This window comes from Homo sapiens, chromosome 10 (assembly GCF_000001405.40).
Source record: "Homo sapiens chromosome 10, GRCh38.p14 Primary Assembly".
In the NCBI taxonomy this organism is placed as follows: Eukaryota; Metazoa; Chordata; class Mammalia; order Primates; family Hominidae; genus Homo; species Homo sapiens.
The window spans coordinates 113,481,612-113,493,248 of record NC_000010.11 but is presented as its reverse complement, the minus strand read 5'-3'; the positions used below and the strand labels follow the sequence as shown (position 1 = coordinate 113,493,248).

Below are 11,637 nucleotides of genomic sequence, written 5' to 3'. Positions count from 1 at the left end.
CATCATTTTCCCTCATCCCATGCGGCCTGGGAGTGCTGCACAGCCACTTGTAAGAGTGGTGGAAAGACAGAGTGTGAAGGGGTGGAGAAGACAGAGCCAGGGCTGGAAATGACATAGATCTTCCCTCTGCCAATCACGTGGTCCACGGAACAGTGATGGCGGCTGGGATGCATTGTCTAGCTGTGCATCCTAGAAGGAAAAAGAAGTCAAGTTTGGTAAACATGAAGCCGTCTCTGCCACATAAGCTCCTCCACCACAACATGGGGTGCTCCCACATCAGCCCAACCTAGAACTCTGCTGGAGTTGTTCCTGCAGGCAGCCAAGCATCCAGTTTGTGGGTGTGGTGTGATTCCCTTCCCCCAAAAAATGGATGTATGAGTAAGCTAGAATTTTCAAGAGTGGGGAAGAGCTTGGGGAAGTTTTAGAAAGGATGCACGGACTCAGGACAATTGGGAGGCATCTGACATTTTCCATTTTCTGGTTGGAGGAAGGGCACGTCTAAGTTAACAACTGACTTTAAGCTGACCTTGACCAAGGCATCCTTCTCTTCATTCTGTAAACAACAAAAACAAAAGAAAAAATCTCCATCACATGTAATGTGCAAAAACTGGATAGATAAGGATTTTGTGTACCTGGACACAAAAGGTAAGTGCTCAACCGTCTATTTTCCATGTCCATCCAGCAAAGATTGACCAGGCTTTCTTGGAATGTCCAGGCAACCTTAGGAAAAAGGGTAATTTGTCTCTCATTTCTGGAAAAACAGGCTCAGTCCTTTTTCTGTGTGCAGCCATGGCTTTAGCGGTAAAGCTGTTAGGAAACTTCATTCCTATGTCTCCCTGGAGAAACTGTGATTTCTAGGTCACTATGACAATCCCCAAACATGCAGCTTTATTTTGGAACACAACAGTGCATACTCTTCATAGATTGCAAGGGTTTAATGATGACAAAAACCTGTTTATAGCACAGTCTATTTCTTTCATTTTCCTTGAAAATACCAAACTGGTTGTTACAGAGACCCAAGGCTGAAATATTCCAAAGCAACGTTTCACTCATCCTTCCTCCCAGATTCTTTTCTCTGCTGCAGTCAATTCCCCCTTTTTCCATTTGTAGAGACAAAAGGGAACATTCTATAACCACTGGCCTCTGTCCAGGAACACAGGAGAAAATGAAGCAAGGCAAACAACAGAGAAAAGTGAACAACAAAAGAACAAACTCAAACGAAACTGCTTAACAATCCTACAGTGCAGACCTGGCAGGTAAGTGCTTTGACTTCTTTTCCTCCTCTTCCTGAGGGTCTAGTTCAGGGTCTAGATTCTTTGAGTATAATCAGAGATTAGTAAAAGAGCTCTGAAAACCCCCATATGGAAATTACTTGCCAATCTATATGTGTCCCGAATCTTTAAGGAATCCATCTGGTTTAACTTAGTAATTCTGCTTCTGAGACTCTATCCAACGTTAATAATATTTAGCTGGGGGTCCCCTGAAGTAGAGCCTGAGACAAAGGTTTGGTGCAAGCAGTTTCTTTGGGAGGTGATCCCAGGAAGCATGATGAGGGAATGGAGAATGTGGAAAGCAAGGATGAGAGGAAAGCCAATATATGGACACGCTAATGAGTTGGACACTGTGACTAGTTGGGGCTTCCATCTTTCTAGAACCACTTGACAGACTGTGTAGAACACACCTTACAGTTGTCACCCTGAGAAGCAAGGAAGCTGGAATGTTTACCCAGTAACTCCCACTCCCATTGGCTGAGGGTTGCTCAGGGACATTAACATGAGCACATTCAGGCTATTCCACATGTCCATAGACCAAGTATGCTTCAACCGACAGAGAACAAACTCAGACAGGTGACACAGGAAGCCAGCAGACTGCCCATGGACTGTCTGCAGGTGCCCCTCAGAAAGGTTGAGGGAAAACAGCTAGATGCTGACAGTATCTGCTCTAGGTAATAATCTCAACATAGAAAAAGAAAATAAGCACAACAAAATTTAAGCATTGCCTAACACAGCAAACAATTGGAGGCACTTTCATGTCTGCATTGGAAGCCAGGTTACATAAATTCTGGTATATCCACTTCATGACCTACTCTTCATTTTTATTTTGTTCAACAACATTTACTGTGTGCCAAGGTCTGTACTAGGTCCTCGTGTCACTATGATGAGTAAGAGCTGACCCCGTCCTTGCCTTCAAGAGTATATGGTGTCATTTGTTAATGTGGAGTTTGAAAAGAAACATGGGCATATGCCTAGGTTGTACCACAATACCTTGGAATCAGGATTGTACATACAGTGTGACTGTAATCCTGTTTTTTAAAATGCATAGAAAAAAGACTGGAGGGAAATACATCAAATTGTTAATAGTGATTCTCTTTGGATCATGGGAGTTTCTTTGCTTCTTGCATTTCTATTTTTGCCAAATTTTCTATAATAAGAATATATTCTTCTCATAGAGGAGGAAATAATAAACTTTGTTTGAAAATAAGAGAAAAAGAAGACACCTGCCAAGTAGAAGGGAACTCAAAGCTGGCCCTTCTCACCTCCTCCCTATGCCCAACTTTTATGTGCATCTAACATTTCTGGTTCCCTGCTGAACTTGGAACCAGCATCTAATGCAAAGTAATTTGGGGCACTTCTTAGGCATGAGTGGGGCCTGGAGGTAGCAGGCATCTCATGATTAAATGTGAAATTCTTAGAGCACCACAAAGAGAACAAGAAATAACTATTCCTTTTATTTTTCTTAAATTAATTCACAGAAATATAAAGCCCACAGTCATGTCCTCCAGACTGGCTCTTCTGTCTGCTGATTAGCTTTGATACCATCTTCAATAGTTAGCCAGTGACTCCAGTGTCAGCAAATTTCCTTCTTCTATTAGAGACTCACCATTCCACCAGAGGAGGGACCTCTGCATTGGGGAATTTACTTGCCAATCATCTCTCAAGTAGATCCTGGAGACTTGGGGATGAAAGATGTTACCTAAATACAAAGTGTTCTCATCAAATGCTTTTATAATGTAAAATTAGCTAGGCTCAAAGGAGCAGGAATATGACTACATTTAATGTAATTGTATTTATTGGCTTAGTTATAATTGGCAAAGTTCATCCTGAAATATTTTCCATGAAGTTAAGAGAGTTAAATATCTTGGAAACCCTCTCCTTAGACTCCCCTATGCCCCTGGATTCTAAATTATTTCTGATAGATGGAAACATTTTAGTTCCTTTGCCTTTCATTAATCCAATATTTGATGATAGGCCCATACTTCAGGGTTGCCCAACTCCGGGGGACCCTGTTCACAGGGCTGTCCCATGGAATTGTGCAACACAGGGTTCTGTATGGATCCAAAAGTGACTTTTTAAAACAATTCTGTATGATGTTCTCAATTTTTGATATGGCTATTGGAATTTAATTCTGATTAAATATGCTCAAGCTATAGGGTCATCTACAGTTGAGGATCATAGTGATCAACACTTCAAAGTGTGCTAGACATTACTAGTTGCTTGGGATATCAACAGGTATTTTGTAAAAGAAAAGATTCATGACGTCAGCCTTGGCAAATAATTTATGGCTAAGTCCTCAAAAGCAATTGCAACAAAACCAAAAATTGACAAGTGGGACCTAATTAAACTAAAGAGCTTCTGCACAGCAAAAGAAACTATCAACAGAGTAAACAGACAACCCACAGAATGGGAGGGAACGTTCTCAAACTATGCATCCAACAAAGGTCTAACATCCAGAATCTATAAATAAACAATTCAACAAGCAAAAAATAATCCCATTAAAAAGTGGGCAAAGGACATAAACAGACTCTCCTCAAAAGAAGACACACAAGTGGGCAACAGACATTTGAAAAAATCCTCAGCATCACTGATCATCAGTGAAAGGCAAATCAAAACCACAATGGCATATACTGTCTCATACCCATCAGAATGGCTATTATTTAAAAGTCAAAAAATAACAGCTACTGGCAAGGCTTCGAAGAAAAGGGAACACTTACACACTGTGCGTGGGAATGTAAATTAGTTTAGCCGCTGTGGAAAGCAGTTCGGAGATTTCTCAAAGAACTCAGAACTACTATTTAACCTAGCATCCTATTACTGGGTTTATATCCAAAGGATAATACATTGTTCTATCAAAAAGACACTTGAACTTGAATGTTCATTGCAGTATTATTCACAATAGCAAAGACATGTAATTGACCCAGGTGCTGATCAATGGTGGACTAGATAAAGAAAATCTGGTACATACACACCACGAAATACTACACAACCATAAAAAAGAATGAAATCATGTCCTTTGCAGCAATATAGATGCAGCTGGAAGCCATTATTCTAAGCAAATTAATGCAGAAACAGAAAATCAAATACCACATGTTCTCACAAGTGGGAGCTAAACATTGGGTACACATGGACATAAAGATGGGAACACAGACATTGGGGGTTACTAGAGGGTGAGGGTTGAAAAACTACATATTGGGTACTATGCCCAGTACCTGGGTGACAGGATCATTTGTACCTCAAACCTCAGCACCATGCAGTATACCTGTGTAACAAACCTGCACATGTATCCCCTGAAAAGTTGAAATTATAAAAAAGTAGAAAAACTCCATAATTAAAATTAAAACTCAATTTAGGAGATAGTGATTGAGTAAAGTTAAGCAGCTCTTCCTATTGCAAGACTCTTTCTGGTCTTAAGTATGCCAATATCTTTAAGAATTTCCAAGGGGGAAGCAGAATATGCAATGTTCACACATTGTTGAACACAGAAGTGCCACCCTCACTGTCTTTGTTGTCCCTTGTCAGGATATCTTATAGAGCCAGCAGTCTGTGGTAAGTGCACACTACTGTGCTATTATTGAAGTACCTGAGGCATCCCATCTAGGCCAGTGGTTCTCAAACTTCAGCATGCATCAGTGCCACCTGGAGAACTTATTAAAACACAATTCCTGAGCCTATCCTGAGAGATTCTGATTCAGTAGGTCCAGGGTGGGGCCCCAAAATTTACTTATTTCTAATAAGTTCATAGGTGCTGCTGCTGCTGCTAGTGCAGAGACTATACTTTGAGAAGCAGGGGCGTAGCAGGATTTAGTGATTCCCCAGAAAGAATAATGACCTGGAGGGAAAGGAGTGGTTTTCTAGTCACAAGGCCTGTTCTTTTGGAATAATGAATGCACTATTTCCCCACCAAAGCATCATGGTGACAGGATACTTGATTTTTAAAGGCCAGGGTTGAGGGCTTAAAGGAGAAGACGAGATCTGACCTGGGAGCACAATTAACTGGGTAGTGACAGAAGCTATGGTAGAAGCTGGGTAGTTACAGAAGCTATGGGAGTCTGTTTAGCACAGGAGTTGGGAGGACTAGCTTTGTTGTCAGGCAAATCGTCTCTCAAGCTTCAATTTCCCCATCTGTCTTATGGGTATCATACCTGCTGTATTAGTCCATTCTTGCACTGCTGTAAATAAATACATGAAACTGGGTAATTTATAAAGAAAAGAGGTTTAATTGGCTCATGGTTCCACAGGCTGTACAGGAGGCTGGGGAGGCTTCAGGAAACTTACAATCATGGCAGAAGGCAAAGGGGAAGCTGGCACGTCTTATATGGCTGGAGCAGGAGGAAGAGAGCAAACAAGGACATGCTACACACTTTTAAACAACCAGATCTCTTGAGAACTCACTCATGAACATGAGAACAGTCCCAAGGGAGAAATCTGCCCCAATAATCCAATCACCTCCCACTAGTCCCCTTCTCTCACAATAGGGATTACAATTCAACATGAGATTTGGGTGGGGACACAAATCCAAACCATATCACCCGCTATGATTGTGGGAGGATCAATCAAATCAGCCAGCAGGTGGGAAGCACTTAGCACAGTGTTATGTGGCAGGCACTTAATAAATGCTTGCTGGAACTAAGGCAAGAATTAGGTACAGGAAGTGAGACATCAAGGCCAGACAACAAACCTGTTTTGCTGAGCATTTTGTCCAAGTGCTCTTAAAATACTTTTGTCTGGGATTGGTTTCTTTGTGCAGGACTGGGATTAGAACTAAGAGGCCCCTCCATGGGGAACTGCAGGCTCCAGGAGCCAGGCTGCCATCTCAGAAACCACCGGGTCTTTTGACTCTCCCAAAGCTATCTATAGCCCACAATGACACACAGTAGGTGCTCACTAAGTATCTGTTGAAGCATCAATGCACTTAACAGAGGGATGTGAACAACCTGACTCCCAGGAGCTACTGAACAGTAAAACACTGAGGTTTGCTTTAGTCAGACAAGCTTTGTCTTCTCGGAACAAACAAAAAAACAATAAAAATAAATCAGACAAGGCTTTGTTTCTGAAAGACACTGAACAAATACACTTGAGGTATTATCTCAAGAAAAATCAATGTCTTTCCCATCCACCGGTGTACGTGCCTTTGGCATTGACTTGGAAACACTGAAACCCTCCTGGCCCAGTGCTCTCTTGAGTCCACAGGCTGAGAATACCAGTTCCAGCATTCCCAGCTGGCCAAGCCGATGAGAACTCATTTCCTTCTTGGAGTGCAGAGCCATCACTGCAGGTACTAACATGCCTTCGTGCTCTCTGCCTTCTGGCTAACAAAGCAAGCAGACAAAGAAAAGAGGAGGCAATGCAGGCAACTGTGGGGCTAGGAGTTTTGAAGAGTGGAGTTTGGGAACTATTACAGAGAGGTTAAGTGGAGGAGGCTGGCCTAGAACTAAGAAGATACTTGGCTGGGCCACGGAATCACCTGGGGACTATTAATTTATTTATTTGTGAGATAGGGTTTCGCTGTGTCGCCCAGGCTAGAGCGTAGTGATACGACCATAGCTCACTGCAGCCTGTAACTCCTGGGTTCAAATGATCCTCCCACTTCAGCTTCCCAAGTAGCTAGGACTATACAGTCCTGGGGCATTTTAAATAATGACAGTTTCCTAGGTCCTACCCAAGACCAGATTCTCCATCTTAAAATGCTCTTTAGGAGATTCTATGATGAAAAAAAAAATGCAGAAATCAAGTTCTGCTTAGACACCATTACTCTGAGTGACCTCCAACTTTTTGCAGCTTACCAAGGGGGTCTCAGGCTGGAGATAACTTCTCCCCAAGTGTTCCCCTGGGAGGACTTAGCTGACAATATTGAAAAGGAGAGATTTTTTTTTAAGAACATACAGAGGTGTCTAAAATAGTTGAACTCATGGAAGCAAAGAATAGAATTGTGGTTGCCAGGCACTAGGGGGAGAGAGGAAAAGAGTTGGTATTTAACAAGAATAAAATTTCAGTTATGCAAGATGAATAAGTTCTAAAGATATGCTCTACAACACTGTGCCTAGAGATAACAATACTATATTGTACACTTAAATATCTGTTAAGAATGTAGATCTCATGTAAAGCGTTCTTACCACAATAAAATGTTTTAAAAATGAATGGAAGAATAAAAAAGAACATAGAGCATGGAAAAGAAGAGCTGGAAAATTCTCAGTGGTGTGTCTCATGGTTGCAGCCATGTGTCTGTAAATATATCTTGGAAAGAATTCATCCTCAGAAATAATTACACAGAATGACTAATATAGAAGATAAATGTTTCATTATAACTGTTTAATAGAGCCTCAAAATTCCTCCTTTTGGTACTTTGGCTCCTAGGAAGAAAAAGTGGATGAGGAAGACCCTTTGGACATCGTCAAAAGAGGCATTGTTAGCAAATGACGGGGGGCCAGTCCTGAAAGCCTGTGAGGCTGTGAGCAACTCTCCCACCTGCTCTTCTCTGTCTGTCCTACTCCTCATGACAATGACTCTTATCCTGGAGGGCCTGCAGTAGCGTTTGACACACGTACCTCATTTAATTCTCACAAGAGTTCTATGAAACAGGCTAGGATTTGGCAAACCATTGTCAGCTACCTGTTTTTGTAAATATAGTTTTATTGGAACATAACCACCACAATTTATTTACATATTGTCTATAGCTGCTTTTACTCTACAATGGCAGAGTTGAGTAGTTGTGACAAAAGCTCTAGGCCCTGAAAAGTGCAAAATATTTATTTTACTATGTGGCCCTTTACAGCAAAGGTGTGTTGACCCCTCAGATAAATGGGACATTGCTCCCACTTTACATATGAGGCACAGAAAAGCTAAGCGCATTGACTGAGATCATTTGGGTTATAAATTATAGTGTCAGAGATGTCTCGGACCCAGAGACAACTGTTCCCTATGCTTTTCTCCTCCCTACCTTATAGCATCTCCTACTCTTTCACATTCATTTGTTCCTACTAAATGTGTCAGCCAAAAAGAACACATTCATTTGCACTGAACAAGACGTCTCAGGTTGACCATCACACAGAAGTCAACAGGAGGTTCTGGAGACTTGCAGAAAGTGATCATCCAGCATATCCTCTCCTCTCCTCTCCTAGCCCCTAAGGACTGATTCGTAGTCTGCCCAGAGTTTATAAGAGAGACAGTCATCCAACATGAATAGAGATGGCCTGAGCAGGCATGGGCTCTTTGAAATTCGGAGAGATCAGCTCAAAGATACACTGGGAAGAACCAGGTTGCCCCAAGCAAAAGGCAACAACTGCCCTTGGTTGAGCAAGATTCCTTGGGAAGCTTATTGGAGGCCCCACCTCTAAGGACAGGCCCACATTTGCCTTGTCTGCCATTCTTCCCTTACTGATGTATTCTGACCCTGTCTTGGCTTGATTTATCTTTGATGTCTTTGATGTTGCTCATGACCATGCTGCCTTCTTCCTGGGAGTTCCCATCTGGTCCTGGTTTCTGCTTCTCTTGCCTTAGCTCATACTCAAACCCTGTGGGTAACAGCCCACGTGCAACAGTGGTCTGCAGCTCCTGAGGGCTGTTGAAAAGATTGCTTCATTCAATGCCATAAAAATATCCAAGAATACAGCAATTGTTATAGAAATTATGGTAAATCTGCACAATGAAATATTATGCAGCCACTAAAACGGACATCAATTCAGATTTCTAAATGACACAATGTAGCAGAGACAGGGCCAGGTTCATGGGTGTGGGTCCTACACAGTCATACAGGGCTCCACACTTACAAGGGCCCTACACTTGGTTTAATGCTCCATGGCTGCCACCTTGAAATTCTGAATAGTTTTATAACAAGAGTCCTCCACATTTACATTTCACATTGAGCCTATAAATTGTTAGCTAGTCCTGAGCAGAGATGACTCTGAGTGCCCATTTTCTCCTGTCTTTTAGTAATAGAACCTCCTCCCTTTGCTTCATACATACACCCTGACTAGTGTTTCCACGCTGGAATTCCTTCCCAGTATTTCTTGAGAATTTTTTATGTTTCTCCAAATCTCGAAAGAAAAATCAGTCAAGAAATTGGGAAAAAGTATTGTAATTATCCTGCAGGAATCAAGGCTTAATGATCAACATAAAGACATCACTGGTTTGAATCCATCAATGTCAAATGAAAAGCAAGAGCAGGAAAGGCTGGCAGGTGGAAGAGCATATAGCACATAGGAGAGCACATAGGTCAAGAGCTGATCAGTCAATCTTGCTTGTAGCCATTGTCCTGTTCTAAGTGTGTGTTCTTGGCCCTGACTGATGCTAATGGCAAGTCATTCTTGGAAATAAAATAAGCAGTATTAGGTTTATATGTATGTATACTTTATTCAAATCCTGCTAGTGATGTTCTAGGAAATAACAAATTTGGGAAGCAAAATACGCCCTTAATTGGCAATTTCAATGTGTGATTCTGTGTAGTGCTTTAACCTTGCTAGGAGATCTGAATGTCACATTCTTTGAATATTACCCAAAAATGTTCACTGGTATTTTCTAATGTTTGATTTTTTTTTTATCTCAGGCTATAGTTGTTTATAAATTTGCTAAATGTAATATTTCTTATTTATTAAACCAATTTCTTTTAGATATCCACAGTAATGACTAAAGAGTATAAAAATTGCTGGAAGTCTTTTATTTTCTTCTTGTTACTTAGTTTTCATTTTGTAATTATAAACTTAACTCTGCGATCCAGCTAGACATGGAAGAGGATAAGGAAAATATGGAACCCAAAGGACTGTGCAAAGATTATAGGATGCTGTGAGCAAATGGGGTGGAAGCATGCTTTCCTGAGCTATAGAAGGAACGATCTGGTGGTTCAGATAAAACAATCAAATTTATTAGAGTTGTCCACAGTCAGCAGCTGTGATCTTCTTGCTGGTCTTACCATTCCTGGACCCAGAGCGTTCCAGGGCTTCCACAATACTCATGCCATCTTTCACCTTGCCAAAGACCACATGCTGTCATCCATCCTCTGTCTTGGCAGTACAGAAGAAAAACTGGGAACCATTTGTGGTGGGTCCAGCATTTGCCGTGGACAAGACGCCAGGAGCTGTATGCTTAGGATGAAGTTCTCATCATCAAATTCCTTGCTGTAGAGGGACTTGCCACCAGTGCCATTATGGTGTGTGAAGTCACCACCCTGACACACACCCCGGAATAATTCTGTAAAAGCAGGGACATTTATCACCAAATACTTTCTCTCCAGTGTTCAGAGCACAAAAATTTTCTTCCATCTTTAGAACTTTGTCTGCAAATAGCTTGAAGGAGATGCAGCCCAAGGACTCACTATCAATTGCAATGTTGAAGAACACAGTGGGGTTGGCCATGGCTGGTGGCAGGGAGTTCTGGGCAGCAGCGATGTCTGCAAATGGAAGTCTTTTCAGAATAACACGAGTTTATCTTTATAACAAACCTATACATGTATCCCTGAACCTAAAATAAAAGTTTTTTTTTTAAAAGGATAACTTATTATTTCAGAAATTTCTAAGAATTCCCAGGAATTCCAACTTCTCATTTGTATATCCTGATGAATATCCACTGGGTATTTGGAAATGCCAATTTCTGACATATGATTGCTTAGCTAGAGACTGCATTTCCAGCCTCCTTTGCAGGTAACTATAGCCAGGTTCTAAGTTTTGGCCAATGAGATGTTAGCAGAAGTGAAATGTGTGCCTTCTGGATTTTATTTTTATGAGAAATTTGCCTGTCTTCTATTCTTTTTCCCTCTTCTCTCTGGCTCGGAAATGATGAAAAGTACAGGACTCACTGGGACCAAAATTCAGAAATTACATGTTAAGGAAGAGAGGGCTGCTCCTCTAGCCTGTTCTCCTTATGACCTTGTGGAACGGAATTGCCTACCTGCCCTGGACTATCCTAAGATTGTCGTATGGAGAGAAATACATTCTATTTTATTTAAACCTCTGTGTTTTGTGGCCTCTTTGTTACAGCAGCTTAGCCTATACTAACACAAATGGGAACATACTATCCTAAAATGCTACTTGACAAAGCATACACGATTTCATATCCAGTAGAGCATCAGTCACTGAAAAAAAAAAACAACACAAAGAAAATGTCTAGGAGAAAATATGTCAAAGTACAACAAAAGGTAAGGGAGAAGCCAAGTTGGACGCTGTTCCAGAAAGAAACTAAATGCTATTACCTACATAACCAAGAAGCAAACTGAGCACTGCTTATGTTCTGGGCAAAGGGCTAGAACAGGGAGTAATAATGACATTTTCCTATTGGTATGGAGTTTATAGTGAAACTGGAAAGGAAGATGTTTGTAAAACTTACTAGTATGGATGACATAAATAATTCATTCTCCTTTCAGTAGGCCTTT

The 11,637-nt window shown here is 41.2% G+C and overlaps 1 long non-coding RNA gene and 1 pseudogene across 2 annotated transcripts, besides 1 other annotated feature; one reads left to right on the top strand and one right to left on the bottom strand.

Moving 5' to 3' along the window:
• Positions 373-1,572: an enhancer, noted in NCBI's record as "CDK7 strongly-dependent group 2 enhancer chr10:115251436-115252635 (GRCh37/hg19 assembly coordinates)". NCBI's record gives its function as "activates an origin of replication core promoter dependent on BRD2, BRD4, P300/CBP, MED14 and CDK7 cofactors, with strong dependence on CDK7, by STARR-seq in HCT116 cells {active_cell/tissue: HCT116}" and the evidence as "EXISTENCE:reporter gene assay evidence [ECO:0000049][PMID:35650434]".
• LOC107984270 (uncharacterized) lies at positions 920-10,756 on the top strand. 2 transcript variants are annotated; one of them, XR_001747591.2, is made up of 2 exons: positions 920-1,256; positions 7,632-10,756. It is a non-coding gene; the product is annotated as an uncharacterized LOC107984270 (long non-coding RNA). The 2 variants fall into 2 exon arrangements; XR_001747592.2 differs by lacking the exon at positions 920-1,256 and adding an exon at positions 5,739-6,552.
• On the bottom strand, positions 10,136-10,633 carry PPIAP39 (peptidylprolyl isomerase A pseudogene 39; annotated as a pseudogene).
• Positions 10,757-11,637: the final 881 nt, after the last annotated feature.